At 36.1% G+C, this 19,856-nt stretch overlaps 1 protein-coding gene across 52 annotated transcripts in view; it reads left to right on the forward strand.

Annotated features, from left to right (window-relative positions):
• NRXN3 (neurexin 3) overlaps positions 1-19,856 on the forward strand; it is a 1,697,919-nt gene that overhangs the window by 642,252 nt on the left and 1,035,811 nt on the right. The gene's annotated exons all lie outside the window — the stretch shown is intronic.

Genomic DNA, 19,856 nt, shown 5'->3' on the forward strand with positions numbered 1-19,856 from the left:
CACAGATGACAGCAGGTTTTCTTAATCTGATAAAATATTTTCTATTTACACCCCACCAAAAACAGCATTGAGAGGAAAATATGTCAGCAAAGTTATATTCCCAGCTTTGATCACAAAGTATAGAAAGAATATAACTGATTTCAATTCAATACTTACATAAAGAATCAAGATTAGATTTTGGAAATTGTTTTTGAGATTTTCACAATAAACCTTTAATGTACTAAGAACATTTATTTTGTTGGAAATTTAATATCAGAGAAATAATACAGTGCTCAATGGTTGACCAGTGTTTGACTGGAAAAAACAAATATACATGGGTCTTTTAAACTAATCTAACACCTTTAGAGCTAAACAATGTAACCACGTATCTAGGGTTATGTAGAGTCACAAAGTAAATATAATACATTTTTTTTCTGAAGCTAATTTTAATTGTTAATATGGAGTAAAAGTTTAAATTGAAACCAAGTTGATATATTATGCAGAAGAATGCAAATAAGCATAAATCTTTAAGAAAAAAACATAAGAATTCAAAGACATTTCATTTTTATTGTGAATCTTCTCTATTTCATCCCTGGTATTATTGGCATTTGAGTGGAAAAGTTTGAGAAGACTATGCAATTAAATTTGGAGAGAAAAAGGGCCTACATGATCCGAACTTCTAAGCCCCTCTTCTTATTGACTCCATGTCAGATTTCATAGCTTGACCTGTTACAGGATCTCACATTGTCTCTGTAATAGGTGTGCCGGTCCTTACTCTTATCTGATTTTCAACTGTGAGAGTATTTGCACCCTGGGTTTGAGGGAGAGGAGGTTTTCCCTGAGCCTTACCTCTTGCTGCTATTTCAATAGAAGTCATAGGGTACCTTGCTTAATTTTCAAAACAGAGCTTCTTTTTTTTTTCCCCCTTGAAGGGAAATACTGAATTAAATTTGAATCAAGGTGGATTATAAGTTTGTGAACTTTTTCAGTCATTCTTTTTTAGAATGCCTGTCCTCTGAAAAGTCACTTGGGTAAAATACTGAATGACATCAGCTATTTTTTTTTCCTGTTCATCTGCTATAAAATGTTGTTTGTTCTGGGAAATGGCTATTTCCAAGGCATTCTGTGACACTCTTTAATGGAGACAAGAGCATGAAAAAGAAGGATGATCTTCCAGCATCGAGAGAAATCAATGGGCCATGAGAGAGAAGGGTGATCTTGAGGGGAAAAAAAGCAGTTTTCTTCTAGCCTTCTTCCTTTTGGCTTCACTTCCTGGCCCTTTTGTCAGAGACTATGGCCCAGTTCCATGCCAAGTATTTCCTCCCAAGAAGAAAAGCAATTTTCTAATCAGCTCTTCTTTCTGCCTTTCTTAACTTCTCTTTTTTAATACTTTGTCTTTCCTCATGGTATCTATGATATATTCATTATTATTCATTACAAATCCTACTACTCCTGCTTTCCAAATCCTCCAAGAATACCACACCATAAATTGCTCTCTAGTTACTATCAATAAACATATATTACAGAGTGTGTAAATCAAGGTCTTTGGTTGAATCAAGTTTGTTGCTGAATTTGATTCATCTGGCGGGAATGTATTTCTTAATACACTTAATACATATAGTTCTAGCTTAGAATTTATTTTTAAATTGCAAAAGAACAACAGAGTTGGCAGCCATCATGGCGAATTGAACTACAGGGTGACCTGGAACACTACTAAAGGAAAACAGAACTGGCCGGATGTGGTAGCTCACACCTGTAATGCCAGCACTTTGGGAGGCCGAGGTAGGCAGATTACGAGGTCAAGGGATCGAGACCATCCTGGCCAACATGGTGAAACCCCATTTCTACTAAAAATACAAAAATTAGCCGGGTGTGGTGGTGTGCACCTGTAGTCCCAGCTACTCGGGAGGCTGAGGCAGGAGAATCGCTTGAATCCAGGAGGCGGAGGTTGCAGTGTGCTGAGATTGTGCCACTGCACTCCAGCCTGGCGACTGAGCGAGACTCCATCTCAAAAACAAAAACAAAAACAAAAGCAAAAAGAACCAGGGCTGTTTTCTGGAGAATTTCTGGAGGAAATGTCCTGTTCCTATGGCTGTAGTTCCATAAGGCTGGCAGTAACCTAAGAGGCACGCGGTTCTGAAAACAGGTATGAACTTCTCGTTGGTGTCATGAGTGCGCAAGTGAAAGTATGGAAAATGACTTTTTGTCTTTGACCTTGTCTGATTGTGCCTTTCCCTGTGATTTCCTAGCCACTAATTTATTCTATCCCTTTCAAGCCATGTGCAGTATGAATGAATATAGAGAACTAATAATAATTAAATATATGGATAGCTTGAATGAATACAGTAAACACATATTAATGAATTTCAACTTTTTCTTTCTTTTTCTATTTCTCTTTCCTCTCAAACGCTAATTCTTCTGTGTTGTGGCCATCTTCATTATCTTTCTAAAATGGAGTGTATATGTGGCATGGAAATTGTGAGTTTGTGTATAAGCCTGATTATTTAGGTATATGTAACAGTGTCTCTCTCACTAATTACTTTGAACCTGAAGACCCACTAATTTCTCTGTGACAAGGTTTATTTTTTCTTCTTAGACACAGAGGAGAAAGGAAGTAGTGTGCTGTACAAAAATATATTGACCTTAAGACACTTAAGTGCCACAATAGAGTTATTTGTGTCAGAGAATAGCTTTGATGATCTTGTGTATTCCCTATATAAGCTGATACCTTTGATTCATCATAGAGGTGCACAGTAATCTCAGAGATGTATGAAAATAACATCACAAGGATATGATATCTGCAAATTTTATCTCCCAAGACTACTAGTGTTTGAGTCTTTCTCCTCTTGGACTTGCTTGGATAATTTGTTTCTTTCTTTTTTTTTTTTTTTTTTTTTTGCCTTTTCCCTTAGCTTCTCTGCCTTAAGTTTCTAAGCAGACTCCATTTCCAGTGCTTTGGAAAAATTAACAGCATGTGGGTGGTTATTGCTTAATTTAGGCATAGTTTAGTGAGCTGCAGTTTATTATACTGGACTTATGGTTTTCTTCTCTTTCTTTTACTCTGTCTTTCCTCTCCATGGTACAAGAATATGTTATTTCATCTTTACGAATCGTTTATCTGAGAATCTCAGAGCCAAATTGTTTAGCTCTTTCCTTTAACTCAGAAACTCTTGCCTCAGACCAATAAGGAGGGCTGACTTCTTCATCACTAAAAGTCATTCTCAAAGGAAATTGTAGAACCCTCTTTGGTATCCATTTTAAAAGTCAAGTAATCATTACTGTCAGCCATTTACCTGGTGATGCCACTTATTAGAATCTTAGCAGAGATGGAAAAGCAAGAGCCTATGTATCATAATGTATTCTCTGTCAAACTATAAGCAAGCTATAAGCATTGCACTTCAGAGTTTCTATCTTCATAACGCATATTTTTGCTTCTTTTGGTATGTTTTATATTTCTTGTAACATATAGAACACTTCAAGTGTAACAATATTTATCGTATCAATAACAGCCAGATTTTAGTATGATAGTGGGATGCTTCCTAAATATATAATATTAAACACTTCTTAATAAATATTAATTCAGATTGGTTTATTTTAAAATAGTTAATAAGATTATACATGGAACAAAAGGCAAAATAGTAAAAATTCTTCCCACTCATCGTATTCCTCAAACTCCTTTTCCCAAAGGCAACCAAATTTATTAGGGATTTTTGTATCTTCTTTCAGGGGTAGCCTATGAGTATACAACATATAATTATATCCACGTTCTTCTCCTTTTCTTCTTTCTGCTCCTCCTTCTTTTTGACACAAATACCAACAAGCTTTTCCACATCTTATTTTTCCACTAAAAATGTCTTAGAGACTATTCCATGTAAGAATATATAGGTTTATTTTATTCCGTCTAATAGCCACATAACATTTCATTTTAGGGGGGTGCTATATTTTATTAAATCAGCACCGTACATTTAAATTTTTCTCAGCTTTTTACTACTAAAAATGTAAGAAGTATATACTTTTGTTCATTAGTTAATGCATACATGTATAAGAAGATCTATTGGATAAATTCCTAAAAGTAGAACTGCTGAGTCAAAAGATAAGTGCATTATAAATATTGATATATATTACCAAATTGCACTCCAAAGAGGTTTTACAAAGTTATATTTCTACCAGCAATATATGTGTTTGCTTCTCCTCACTCTTGTAACACACATCATATTATCAAACTGTATTTTCATTCTCTTAAGATAGCTTTTCAAAATGTTGCTGTCACATATTTATTTCCCATAGATCTTTTCCTCCCATCCTTTAACATCTTCAAATATACATAGGGATCATTGTCATTCATGACTTTGGTGACAACTTATATCAGAAATCTTTTAATAGCAATCTGCTGTAGCAACATTTCATATGTTAATCTTGTTTTGATAAACAGGGATATTGTAGAAAAGTAGCAATATGTTATAGTAATTTTGTGTAATTTATCTCCTACATTATTATTGATCTGTGTTGGGATCTCAGCACAGACAGGCATTTAGTGCAATTACAAAGAGCAAGGAGGACACTGGAGCCAAATAGCCTGGGTTCAACACTTGTCTATGCCACAAATGAGCTACATGTCTTTGACAAGTTGCTTCAACTCTTAGTTTCCTCAATTGTAAGTTTCATATGAAATTTAGAAAGAATAAAGGGAATGGGATCTAGCACCAAATTAAAAAGTAAACGTGATGTGAACTTGAGGCATTAAATTACAAATAAGTGGTTTCCAAAAGAGAGTATGCTTTGTCTCATCAAAGGAAGAAGCAGAGGAAACAGCAAAAGAGGAGGAGAAAAAGAACTTGTTCAAAGCACAAGCCTTCATAAGTTATGTCTTAGTCCATTTGGTGTTGCTATGATAGAATACTTGGGGCTAGGTAATTTATAAAGATAAGAGGATTATTTGGCTCTTGATTCTGGTGGCTGAAAGTTTCAAGAGCGGGCAGTTGCATTTGGCGAGGGCTTCATGCTGCTTCCACTCATGGAGGAAGACAGAAGGGGAGGTAGTATGTGCAAAAAGATCACTTGGTGAGAGAGGAAGCAAGAGAGAGAAACCAAAGAATATAGACTCTTTTTAACAACCCACTCTAAAGGGTACTGATCTATTCCCATGTACAAAGAGAAGTCACTAACCCCTGCCTGAGGGCATTAATCTATTTATGAGGGATTCACCCCGTGACTCAAACGCCTCCCACTGAGCACTGCCACCACAAAAAAAAAGGAAGCAAATTTCAACATGAGTTTTGGGGGGAACATACCATATCCAAACCATAGCAAGATATATGGATATAAACAAAGTTAATAGAGCTGCTGAATTCTAGGAAGGATTGCTAGACAAAGGAATAAATTTTTAATATCTGAACATCTTAAAATAGGCAAATACCCAGCCAATGTAGAAATTTTATATTGTTAAATATCAGGTTAATAGAGGCAGTATATAGACTCATATAACTGTTTATCAATCACAATTTGAACTGCTGTATTATGTTAAATTAGTGTACATGGTTTAGATATATAAAGTTAGTGTACCTAGTTTGGAGGTATGTATACACACACCTGCACACACAAAGAGTGAGAGAGAGAAATATCTAATGCCAGTACAGCCTAAAATTTTTACATTGATATCTGCCACTGTATGATTTTTATGACTTGAAGCTACCTTGGATATAGTATATGCTTGGTAAATAATTGCTAAGTAAGTGAATGGGGTAATGAATTGTATCCATTGCGCTACCTTAATTTATTATTTATACAAAATTGTTAAGAATCAACATGCAAGGTACAAGCCTAAAAATTGTAAAGTACAGTGTTTTGTCTTGTTGTCACTCAGAAAGGAAGAAAATTAACCAAGGAGTGAATTTGTCGTCTTAACCTAATAATCTAAAGGAATATATATTACTTTCTCTGTAAAATAAGAGATTTCTGACAAATAAATATTTTCATGAAGTCTGATTGGGCCATATTTTGGTTGAAAGTAAGGAAAATTTCATGAAGGAAGATGAACGTGTATCTGTAAATATTGCATGTTGTCATTCTTCCTTGTTCTTCCTCATTCACTTATTCCATGGACATTTACTGAGAGTAAGCAGAGTTCCAAGAGCTGAGTGTCATTTTAGGAATTTATACTGCAAATTTCCAAGGAAAATGTAGGAGGAATTCTCATAGACTGAGTAATTTCTTTATCCCACCCTACTCTTCCCTTTCACATTGCCCACCTCCATTTCTTGTTTTTCTTGAAGAAATTGGACCTCAGATGTATGTATCTCTAAAATCCAGATGAGTCTCTTATGGATTTTGTTCAGGGCTAATTCAACATTCAATTCAACATAATGATGTCTTTTTTCACAATGTGTGTGCATTTCTCATGATGGGGCCCTAAATGCTGGTTTACTTAGGGATTTTCCTGATTTCCTTTTTTGTTTTGATTTGCCCTCCTTCATCTGACCACTTGCTTGGAGCCTCGCAAGCTGTGTTTCTGCTCCCCTTTAAAAGGCTGATGTTTCAGGGACTGTAATTTTAGTAAAAATACTATTTCTGTTTTCCTTCTACCTTTCCAAGATTTCTTTATGTACTCCAATCCATTTTATGTGTCTAATTGCTATAGTCAGATATACAAGGTGACAAATTCTGTAAGTACAGTTGGTCCTCCATAACTGCTGGTTCTGCATCTGCAGATTCAACTAACAAAAAAATTGAAAATAATTTTAAAAAACAATAAAAAACCAATATAACAATAGAAAATAATACAAATAAAAATACATATAACAGCTATTTGCATAGCATGTACATTGTGTTAAATATTATAAGTAATTTAGAGATTAGAGTATAGGAGGATGTACATAGTTTATATGCACATAATATAAGACACCATTTTATATAAGGAACTTAAGCATCTACAAATTTTGGTATTCACAAGGGTCCTGGAACTAATTTCTCATGGACACCAAATTAGGACCGTATTAGTTTCAGGCACAGTTTATATTTTGAAAATTAGGAGGTATTATGGTAAATTTAAATGGAAACTGGGCCTGAGAAATCCCTGAGCAGAACAAAGCCAGTTAGGCCGCATAAATGACCTTAACCTTGCTGGATTTGCAAATAAGAGCAAAAGTTAATTTGAGCTACAGCTCATAAATACCTATATTCAGAGAAAACAGAATGTAAGCTCAACCAATCAGAAGCAGCCAACAAATTTATAATTATATAACTAGGGACTTTCCAATAGGATAGGCCAAATAAGGCAACAGTGTAACTGTAATCCATCAAATATTTTCTTTGCTTTACTCGCCTATTTATCCTATAAAAGCCTGCTATTTGCATTCCCTCAGTGGAGCTCCTGAGCCACTTTTGATTTAGAGCTTCCCTGTCCAATTCATGAATCACTGTTTGTTAATAAAGTCCTTAAAATTTTTATTGTGCCTCAGTTTATCTTTTAACCGTTTGACCTCTATGCGGTGTAGGATGTACAGTGACCATTTGGTAAGCTAATATTATTAACCTAAATTCTTTATTCTTGTTTGGTAACAAGATAAATGTATTAATGGATGTATTTCCCTTTCATTATGCCTAATATATATAAATTATATGTATAAAGTACATATATACATATATATATATATAAATTGCAGTTGTTTTTATGCATATCATAAAAGATAATATAATTTGAATTCTGGAGTTTCCAGAATAATTAGCCACAAAATGAAAGTCTGTTTACTGATTCAAAGCATCTCAGGAAACACAGTTTCCAATTTTGGGAAGAAAACTTTACAGACCAGGAGATGTTATTTCTAAAAAAAAAAAAAAAAAAAAATGGAGTAATTTTCTGGCTGTTCTGTTGACTTACTAGAATCACATAGCTTTTTAACTCTGAGTTTATTTGAAGTTAGGGAAATAAAACTAAGAAGACTTTATACATTTCCTTCTCAAAATTAAGCTGTTTCAGAGGAAATCTGACTATATAATATCTGTTCAGAAAATCATTGTCATCCCCAAGCCTGTGCCAGCCCTCTGTCAGCAGCACTGTCCTCAAAGATTCCTCAAGGGACCCTGTGGAAAAATGAAAACAAGAGAGGCTATCAAGGGGTGCAAGTAAGAGGTGCAGTGTTGAGTTATAATAATCTAAGTGTCCTTCCTAAATGGCTGAAAGTATATTGCAGTAGAAAAGTATTAAAATGTGTATGTGTCCCAAAAAAGAGGCAAAATGTAATGGAGATCATGTCCTCTAAAGCAAAATATTTGGATGGTTATGAACTCAGGATCCTCCAATAGGCCTGCTGGGGCACATTTCTTTTTTAATATCAACATATTACAAATGGGGAAACCAAGGCTCATGGACACTGAGTGCTTGACATAAAATCTCAAGGTGATGAATGGTAGGCATGAACCTTTATAAATTTAGTTTTATAATTCTTCATCATATGAGTACTCTTTTGTCCCCTAAATCAAGCTGTCTCTTAATGATGACACAGGACTTTGTTTTTAAAGGATTAATGGGGAAAAAAGAGGGGGATCACTGCAAAGGTAACGAATTAGAATATTTTTACCTAAACCGATGAATAGGAGTGGAATGAAATTTATTTCTGAAATCCAGGAGATGACAGAGAAATGAAATTGGTGTTATCCACAAGTGCGGGCAGGATAAAATCTAAAGCAATAAACAGAGGGCTGCTCCTCTGTTCCAGTATAATAAAAAGTAATATTTGAAACACAAAAGCGAGAGAGAGGAAGACCTGCTTATTTCCTGTGAGGGGTTTTCCTGTGATAGGAGGCACTTTTCTTCCTTTCCTCCCCAGAATCCGAGGAGAAGGAACTGCCCCACTGACCAGAGTGACAATGCCCATAGGACTGAAGGGGTAAGAGCAACAGAAACGGAATGCTTGAAAGGAGCAGAAACAGTGTATGGCAGCAGCAAATGTGTGTCAGATAGAAAGACAAAGGGAAAGGGACACAAAGAAGTATTCACAATGGAGCAACACACATGTAGTGTGTTTTATAATGCTGGAAAAATTCTGTACCTTTCCCATCTCACAGAGAAAAGAGAACACAAAGGAAGATGGATAAAAAAAAAAAATGATGCAGCCACTGGGCCGGTTATCTCTGGCTAGAGAAGGATTACCATTTCCTTACAAAAAGAAATTGATAATTGAAATTAAACTCAGATTGCCCAGGTATACCTGCCGGCAGTTGGAATGTTTAACTTAACTGCTCGGTTTACTTATTGACAAGCAAACTCCCTTTTACTAATAGAACCAATTTACAAAACTTTCCGGTCATCATAAATAGAAAAGCCAGATATGGTAACACCGCGATGACTAGTTAAGTACTCAGGTACTTATCCATGACTTTGTTTATCCATCCTCCTACATATCTGATAGAAAACACAAGGAGTAGGAATCTCATGGTTAACATTTCAAAGGCATGAAAATTGAATACTAAGTGAAGATACAACTTCATTCTTTCCCCTCTTCATATCTTCCTGGACCCTTTTTCTCCTTTGTCACAGCAAAATAATATAGGCTACTAAGTCTATGCACAAGGATATTTACAATAAACATTTGACAGTCTTTGCTATTGCTATATGAAGTGCATGCACTTGACAGGTGGCTACTAATTATTATAGTAAAAACAATAGCATTGAGTGATTTCTGCCATTATGGGATAAGAAGTTTGCTGGCATTATCTTATTTAATCTTCACCACAATCTTATAAGGTAGGTGTCATTACCCTCATTTTAGAAATGAGACTTGTTCATATGGAGGCTGGGTGTGGTGTCTCAGGTCTGTAATCCCAGCACTTTGGGAGGCCGAGGTGGGTAGATCACTTGAGGTCAGGAGTTCGAGACCATCCTGGCCAACATGGTGAAACCCTGTCTCTGCTAAAAATACAAAAATTACCCGGGCATGGCTTTGGACACCTGCAATCCCAGCTACTTGGGAGGCTGAGGCAGGAGAATCACTTGAACCTGGGAGGTGGAGGTTACAGTGAGCCGAGATCGTGCCACTGGACTCCAGCCTGGGTAACAGAGCAAGATTCTATCTCAAAAAACAAAACAAACAACCAACAACAAAAACAAACAAAAAAAAAAAAAAGAAAAGAAAGAAATGAGACTTAGTCATATGGAATGTTTTGCCTAGCTTCAGATTCAGTCTACTCCATTCCAAAGCCTCTGCTCCTCACCATTGTACATATTGCCTCTGCCACTTGTATGCTGAAGTGTTAATGCCTAAATGAATGAAATCTATCACTCTAGAACAAGTGCTGATGGTCCCATGAAAGAGGCCACTTCTAATCACTAATACCTCCTATCTCTGTAGGTAGTCTTTCTGAAGTCTTGACCTTCCAGAGTCAAGCTCCCTCAGCTCAGCTCTATAGGCATATTAGTGCCCCATGCTTGCCATAACCAGTCTCGAAGGCATTGTCTATTTCAGTGACTGAAAGGTACTTGGCATTTAGAGATGCATAGAAGATGAATTAGGAATTATTATTCAGGAACAGAGACAACTAAGAAGAGGATAACATTAGAATGCCATAATTCAACTTATGTTTATTACTGATGAATCACTCTCCACATGACTGATGCTTTGTTGACCTTCTCTTGGTAATGCTGGTACTCTCTGTCTCTTATTTCCTTCCATTGTACTCTAGTCCTCTAGTCTTAGCCAACAGGTTGTGGCTGCTGCAATCCCCGAGGCTCTTCTACGCTACCTCTGTGTCCATGCTTTGCTGTGTGCCCTATAGACTGTTCCTCTGTATCTGCCTTTGCAACAGCTGTCTGCTCATCCTTCATAACAGCTCAAGGGGTTACCACCTAGATGAAACCTTCCTTCTACTCCAGGCAGGTCTAGCTTTTTCCACCTTTAAGTTCTCCTGGCACTTCGCACATCTTTCAGAACTCTTATCACAGTTATATGCTGTAAACAAAGAATCATGGGTTTTATAAAATTGGAAAGGAGAACTTTATTTCTCATAAAGGGTTGCAGCCTGCAGGCTGGCCATCCCAGAGGCTGGGAAGCATAGCCTCTGGCAAAAGCTGAGAGCAAGCACATTGAGGTGATCAGGGGTAAAGGGAACAGGAATTTATGCTGAGCAGGGTAGCTGAATATACATATTTAATACACTATAGAAAGAGTCATGAATATTTACGGAGGAGAACCATGCAAATGTGCAATTGAGCTTCATGCCTCTTCATGGGTTACACGTTAAAAAAAAAATAGCTGTGTTAGCATGATCTGAGGGTGGAGTTTTTGGCCCTCTGACATCAAAAAGTAAACCAGAGGATATGAAAATTGCCAGTGTATATCCCCCACAGGTCAGCCAAAACTGGTCCAGAGATGGTGGTTGGTTTTTAGGAAGGGATGCCTTGTGAAACTGATTAACTGTCACATCAATACTGTAAAGAGGGAGAGAGAGTCTGGTTGTGGCCTCAGGTGATTGGCTAAAGACAATAAAGAAATGGGTCACCTGCTTCTTTTTTTTTTTTTTTTTTTTTTCCAGAGCTGGTTTCTGTTGCTCCTTAGGAAAGAATCCTGGTTAAAGGTGAATAAGGAAGGGGTATACTGAGGCATGAATATACTAAGGCATATCTACCCTCCCTGCCCATCATGGCTGGAAACTTAGTTTTTAAGGTTTCTCTGGGTACTCCTTGGCCAATAGGGGATTCTGTTCATTCAGTCAAGGGACTTGAGATTTTATTTTTAGTTATCTATTCTTTATTTGTTTCCATGAGTATCTTCAGAACCAACCTCTGGACTCCTCATGATTTGGGGAAATGCACTATTCATCATTGTATCTTCACCATCTAGCACGGTGCTAATCATATAGAAGGCATTAGTGAACACTTATTGAATTAACAATTGTAAGTTTAATGACTTGAAACTTTGAGCCACAGGAGAAATCTGTAGATAAACACAGATTTCTTAGTAAGAGGAAAATTATTCCATCCTTACAAAGACAGAAATCTCAGCAGATCAGATGAAAATACCATAGATTATCATAATGAGGGCACTTGCCCAACTCTTGAAGGGAAATATGTTTTTAGAAACCCTTATTAAATACTACAATATCAGAAGGCTAAATTTAAATTAAAAAAATGTGATTCCAAAACAATCTGAGCACAACGGGGTGACCACAGTCAACAATATTTCATTGTACATTTAGAAATAACTAAAAAAAATACTAGGATTGTTTGTAACACAAAGAAATGGTAAATGCTTGAGGTGAAGGATACTCCATTTACCCTGATGTGATTATTACACATCATATGCCTGTATCAAAATATTTCATATACTCAATAAATATATACACCTACTATGTACCCATAAAAATTAAAAATATAAAAGTAAAAATCGGATCCATCTTTTCCCTAAATAGTGGTTGTTCAAAGAGACATTTAAGGCACAAGTGTTGTTTGTGCAGTATTGTTTTGCACATATCAAATTCTAGGTTTTATGTCTTACCCACCCTGGATAGAAATTTATATCCATTCCAGGAGGCGGAGGTTGCAGTGAGCCGAGATTGCAACACTGCACTCCAGCCTGCGTGACAGAGCGAGACTCTGCCTCAAAAAAAAAAAAAAAAAAAAAGAAAAAGAAAAAGAAAAATTTGCACCCATTCCTGTATTCTTTTTATAGGCTTCTGTAAGCTTCAAAAATGATCCTTAAAGAGATTGAAGATGATGACTCAGAGCAGAAAAATAAAACAAAAACAACATGGGTGGCAGAGTTGCGTGATAGAAAGAATGGAACCTTCAGGTCCAGTTAAACCTGCTCTGCTATTAATTAGTTTTTGGTTTTGAGGTGATTTTTCCAAGCCGTCATTATTAGTAATAAGAGCTACAATATCATTGGATGAAGAAGAAAAATTTCTGAACAGAAGCATAGCTCCCAACCATATGTTTTCCATACCAGCATCTATACAGGCACCAAAAATCATGGATGTTCTTATAGCCTTGTGCCTCACGGCGTGAATTGCTCATTGATCATTTGAACTCGTAACAATGGAAACATCAGTTTTACCAGGCCTCCTGGGCACTTGTCTGACCTTTCTGATTTGTCAAATGGAATTGCTTCGTTTGTAAAATGTTTCATAGGAGACAGGACAACAATCTCTGTTTGATGAAGGTGAATGTACCCAAGATAATTTCTAGGGTTTTAATGGAAGAGTTTTGTGACAGCTGGTTTAGCATCTCATGTAAAATAAATTCAAGGCCTTTTGTCTCACTGAAAGTAAGGTCACATTATTAAGAGAGAAGATCCTCCTCTACCAAAGTCACAGGGATTGACTATTCAGTTGAACCCCAGAGGGGCTAATCTGTCCCTGATAAAGTTGAGTTGGATGAGTATCATGCATTGCATGTGTTTGCCCATGATGAGATATATGCAGAAGAAACAAGAACAATAATATAGGCCAATATTTAATGAGGACTTACCTTGTACCAGATAATGTTTTCAATTGTCACATGTATTAGATCCTTTAATTCTCACAAGGATGATATGGAGGATACAGGACCATTTACATTATTTGTGTGATCTAGTGCCAAATAAAAATGTAAGCTCCTTGTTCTAAAGGCAGAATGAAAGCTTTTTCCTTTCTTTCTCAATTTTTTAGTTAACCTGTCAAACATAGGGATACTCAGGGAGCAACTGTAGACCCCCACAGGCACTCACGACCCCACCCCACGATTCTTTGTGTGGAGGCAGAAGGTTGCAGCAGTTGCTAGAGGGAGGCAGAAAAGTGAATGAGGAAGAATCTGCCTGGGTAGGCAAGAACATTCAAGCCAAGGCTCCAAGTCCCTGGCTCATGTTCCATTGTGCCATTGAACTTGAAAAAACATGCACACGCATAAATTCACAGATAAAATTCTTAAGCATTTCAGGACAGTGACTAGAAAGCATTAAGCCCCAAACTCATTGGGTTCTAAGTGACTGCACTGGTTGCATACCTTTGAATATGGTTCTAAAAGTAGGTAATAATATTATCTGAATTTTACAGATAAAGAAACTACAATTACCAGAAACAAAGTTTTTGTGTTTGTTTGTTTTGGTGATGTGTTTGTCTACCATATAATCACGAAAACATACTATGCCTATTATACAAAATTTAGCTTGTTCTATATTTTGGTATACTTTTAATACTACTGTTTTAAAATTCTTAATTTCTCCTGCATGTCTTCCCTCATGGCTAAAGATAAATTTGGTATCCTATGAACTATGTTTTCCGTCAAGGTTTGCACAACGGCATAAAACAATCCATCACATTTTTCTGGCCAATAGATACATGCTTTATTTCTGAATGTCAACGTTTAAGAGACTGAAGTCTGTGACTACTGTTAATTTTGCTAGTAAAAATAAGTTCTCCCTGATTTTGGTTATTATCCATTGAAGATGTTATCTTCAATAGTTATCCATGCCTATGTCATGATATCTTCACTTCTTCCCAAATATTATCTTCCTCAGATATTCAATTGTGAATGAAAAGTCAAGCTCCTTGTCCATTTTTACTGTACCTCAGCCTTCAAAGGCCTAAATTACCATTTCATTTCTGTTGCTGATCATCAGCAACTAGAAGACAGAATTTGGATATTCTCACACCAATGTACTATTGCTGCAGAAATCCTTTGGGCTAACTGAGAGGACCGAAAAAAAAAAAAAATACAAAAGAACATTCCAGAAATAATTACCTATTCACCATCTTTAGTACAATGCTGTACAAATAATTAATTTTTGGTTCGTTATTCTCTATTCACTTTTTCCTAACATATGGACGCATATATATGGGTCCAGTGAATCCCATTCAAAGAGAATAGATGGTGGGAAAACTATTGGATGCCATCAGAATATTTTAAAGAAAAAACTGTCCTTTGAAACAAATTCTGCAGAATATTTTGAACGGAATAAGAGAAAATTGGTTTCAAGTTAATCAGTGAAAGTGAAACACTTGCTGAGGCCATAATAACTGCCATTCCTAAGGGCTGACAGGTCATGCCATTTTCCAATGTCTTGCTGAAAAAAATAATTTGTGTAGGCTACCACTGAGTAGCCATACTGGCTTGCCTTGTTCCTGCCTTCCTTCTGATTTGGGGCACTGCAGTGGGAGCTGACATGCTGAGCTACTCAGCTGTCTCAGCCTCATGGCCAGGCCTCACTCAAAACAGTGTCCGAGGAAAATGACAACATCCCTTTGGGGAACTGAGCTAGACCTCATATAGTATTTGCATTCATGGAACAGCGTTTTCTTGTACTTACAGAACACTTTGTTCTATTTAACAGCATACATAGTTGTATCTGATTTTATTGCCATTGCCTTTGAAGGCACACATTCATTGTGCTATGGTTTGGTAATGTTCTTCTATTCAAATTGATTTGTAACAAAGAATGGGTTTACTTGGACTCTCTGCATCTAGTGTTGGTTCATGTCGCAATTACCTGCAGGCAGCAACTGTTTATTGATGAGGATTTTACCATAGTTTTATGTGATTACATGTTAGTTTAGCTTTCCCTTCTAAATCACCACTTAGTTTATAGTTCAATATTATCGATCCAAGTGCTACCAGAGAGCAATTCTATTGATGGCATGTTACGTGTTTGGAAGGCAGTCTAACTTTCAACCCACACTCTCTTTTGGAGAGAATGTTGCTTCAACTAACAATATTGAGGCTCTTGCTTAAATATTCATCTCACACATTAGAGTAATTGGCATTAAATAAACTTCATATCTGAATATTTTCATTAAGAACTGGAGAGTTGGTGGTCCACTCTAAAGTGTCCATATAGAAGTTGGCTAACTTTTTCTGTAGATGGCCAGATAGTAAATATTTAGATTTAAAAGCCATATAGCCCTGTCACAACTACTCCATTGTGCTCTTGTAGCACAAAACAGCCATAGACAATGTCTAAACTTATTGGTAAGGCTGAGTTCCAATACAACTTTATTTACTAAAACAAGTGGTAGGACAGATTTTGCCCAATGGCCATAGTTTGCTAATCCCTGTTCTAGGACCCTAAGAGAGGTACATTTGTAGAAATTATGTTTGGAAAGCAGACTAGCTACCCAGAATTCCAAACAATAGGCACATGGAAGTTTGGAAAACTCTTCATTTAAAGCATTTTTTAGTTCTAGATGCTGGTAATGCAATGCTGAACAAGACCAACATGGTTTCTCTCCTTATAAGATTTGCATTAACATTTGTGAATGCATAAAGACTTAAGTGAGTTCAAGTAATGCCAAATGCAATAAATAAAATTAAACAGAGTAAAGTAAATGCCTGGATGTGGGAGGAAGTATAACTTTAGATAAAACTGCCCTGGAAGCTTTTCTGAGAAAATGATATTTGAATTTTGGACATTTGATACTTGAATGATGAGAAGGATCTAGTCTTGGAAGGGTTTGGGAAAGAGCATTCTGTGCAGAGACATTGACAAAGGTGAAGGGCTTATGGAAGATACATACTTGGTGTGTTTGAGGAATAGGAAGACACCAGTACGGTTGAGAAGGGAAAGGGACTGTTATCTCTATCTTGAACTGTCCCCATTAAACTGATCTATAATCAGAATTTTAAGTGAGTTAAATTCTCTTTCTGATTTACAATCATCCTTTCTTTTGTTCTTAGTCACTTGTGGAGGCAAATTCGCAGGTTATCTGCAGCCTTTCATGTCAAAATGTAAATGTTTATAAATTCCAACTCACCATTATTAAACTGGAAGCAAGCCAGTGTTTCAGTTGAGGGACAGTTAAATCACACTGTTTGAACCATATTTGAAGAAATGATGACACCAGTGTATTAGTGGTAAGACTTGTGGGGTTAAGGATCCATAGGTCTAGTCATTTGAGCTATAGAGAGGATTTCACCATAGTCAATGGTCTTCAATTGCTAAATCGGGTAAAATAGCTCAACTATTAGTTTCACTATGGATGTCTAGAAGCCCAAAACTCATCAGTTAATTGAATACTGTAGACTGGGGGAAAAAATTATTTTATCCAATCCCAAAAGAATCAACTCAAGTTTATTTTACAGAAAAATATTGCATCTAGTCCTATATTGTAATTTTCTGAAGGTTTTTAAAATAAAATTATTTTAAATCCTTTGTTGCTAATGGTTGTAAAAACACTAATCCAAAGAGAATTGCCAGTATCTAAATAAAACACCCTGAGTTAATTTGACTCAAAAAATCAAGTCCTTTGCCTCAGTTAAGTAGAATGTGAGAAAATGGTTCTAACAGAATCAAGTTCAGCTCAGGGAAGTTAATTAGAGTGTCTTGCCTTAAAAGACAAGGTAGTTTTCTAGGCAATGGTATTTGATAACAATGTTTCACATGAATGCAACAAAATTCTGTGCTCTGTTAAGAATTGCCGAAAGAGAGGAAAACTCTGTGAGAGAGTAACCTGTTACAGTTTCAGATAGCCAGAGGGGGAAATCAGTCTGAATTCATAAAATAGTATATCATGGATTTTTTAAAAAATAAAATTGCTTCGAAATACATACAATAACTCGCCCAAGATGTGTATGGGTGCGTGTGTGTGTTATCTCCATCCCAATAAATGCTATTGGGAATATATAAGGCTGACATTATCATTTTAGTTGATTAAAATAAAATATCTAAGTTACTCGTAGCATGCTTAAAATATTTTTATAAGTAAGGTAAATAGGCTTGACAAACTGGTGATATCTTAATTTGCTTCTCATATCCATTTTTATGGATATGATAAAGGTACTTGTCAGCCTAGATTTTGTTACAAATTCTCAATTTATGTTTGATTCTGAATAAAATTTTATTAAAGATGTCTAAATGCAGCATCTCTGCTAACATAGGATTTCCAAAATTTTAATTTGTCAGGAAAATGAAGAGTAAGAGATTACATTGTGTAACATAGGGCATTTTTTTCCTGCCTCGTCTTAGCACAAGATATTACAGGGGTTTTTACTCTTTTTTTAAATTTTAAATCAGGATTAGTATACTCATTTTTTTCTTGGTGTTTCCTATTTGTAACTGATATAATGCCACAGGCCTGGGAGCTTTAAAGAAAATTATTTAATAATAAAATAGTATTTAGGAGCTCTTTTTTTTTTCATTTTCTGAGAAGATATAATGCATTCCTTTAAGCATTTTGAATCTCTTCTCTAGTTGGCAGCAGCAAATATTGTAAGGGAATATTTTTGAAATATGAATCTTAATCACATCTTCTGCCATATCCACAAGAGTTTCCATTTTATATGCCACATTCAACTTCATTCATCTGACAACAATGGAAAAATGTTACTTTAGACATCAATGGAAGTTTTACTGAGTATCATCAAATGCTTAGCAAATATTTAAAATATTTCACATATTCTTACGATCAGAAATTACACATTGAAGAATACTTCTTGATTTGGGAACTTTAATAAAAAGAAGTGAGAAATAGATCTTGGTCTGACATGGAAGGTGGAGCAAGCTGATGACTTTACTAAGTGACTTGCTACATTCTTATAGAACAAGGTAGTGGGAGTATTTTTCACTAAACTATTTATGGGACCAAGGTCACGTAACTTACTCTTGTAGCCTAAGCTGGTGATAAGGCTTGGACTTTTAATTTCCAAATTATAGCATGCAGGTATTAGAAAACTGATGACGCAAGCCACGATTCTCACTGAAAAAGAATAGAACAATATCACACCTGTAACCCCAGCACTTTGGGAGGTGGATCACGAGGTCAGGAGTTCAAGACCAGCCTGGCCAAGATGGTGAAACCCCGTCTCTACTAAAAATACAAAAATTAGCCGGGCGTGGTTGTAGGCGCCTGTAATCCCAGCTACTTGGGATACTGAGGCAGAGAATTGCTTGAACCCAGGAGGCGGACGTTGCAGTGAGCCAAGATTGTGCCACTACACTCCAGCCTGGGTGACAGAGGGAGACTCCATGTCAAAAAAAAAAAAAAAAAAAAAAAAAAACAACAACAGAACAATAGCACTTTCACTCATTTGCAATTTTAGCAGAGTTTTCATGGGTGAATATCAACATCTGTTGCTCCATTTCCTGAAAAGTCCTGTGGGTTGGAATGCCAGTGCTGTCCCAATTCACTTTGTCTTTTGCTTTAGTAATAGCAAAAATCAATGTAATTACCATCACTATTCACAGTTTTTTTTAATAAATAGTGGGACCCTCATTTAAGTCGATAAAATTGTTCTGTCTCATTCTTTGCCTTTGTTCAGGATCACATATGAAATTCTTTTCTGCAAGATGGTTTTCTACCTCCATTGACCTTGAAATGAAAAATTCTTTCAAAATAAATATTTTACAAAATTATTTCTAAGTCGAAAAAGACTTAGTGTCTTGGTGTACAAGAGTGGGGTAATACCAGCATGTTTCTCAGTGGGGAGTGGGGTAAAAGAGGAGGACAAAAAGGTTAATTAATGCATAAAAGTGCCTAGATCAAAGGCAGGCACCACTGTAAGCAAAAGACATCTCCTTGAATATTTCCTACTAACTTTCAAAAACGAATGGAACTCAGCTGTGGTTTAAATAATAATAATGCAAGAGACAAATTCAAGAGCTTTGTCTCTTGAATCAAAAATGGTTGTCAAGTTTTCTGGTTGCATATACTTAAACCTGCCAAAGGTAATGATGGCTACTTCAAGAAGTCTGCCTAAGATGTTGATACAATCAACGACTCTGTTTAGTTGTTCTTGCCAAGAAAGAAAGAAATAATTCCAGATTCCAGGTGTTACTACTTAGCTGGATGTTTTACTTTATAAGGAGGCAGCAATTCATGAGAAACAGCTGTAATTACACAGCATTCAGGTATTTCATAATTAAACTAACAGCTGATTTTAAGGTGGCACATGGCATGAGATTTTGCAACTAGGCTAA

This window comes from Homo sapiens, chromosome 14, assembly GCF_000001405.40.
Source record: "Homo sapiens chromosome 14, GRCh38.p14 Primary Assembly".
Lineage (NCBI taxonomy): Eukaryota > Metazoa > Chordata > Mammalia > Primates > Hominidae > Homo > Homo sapiens.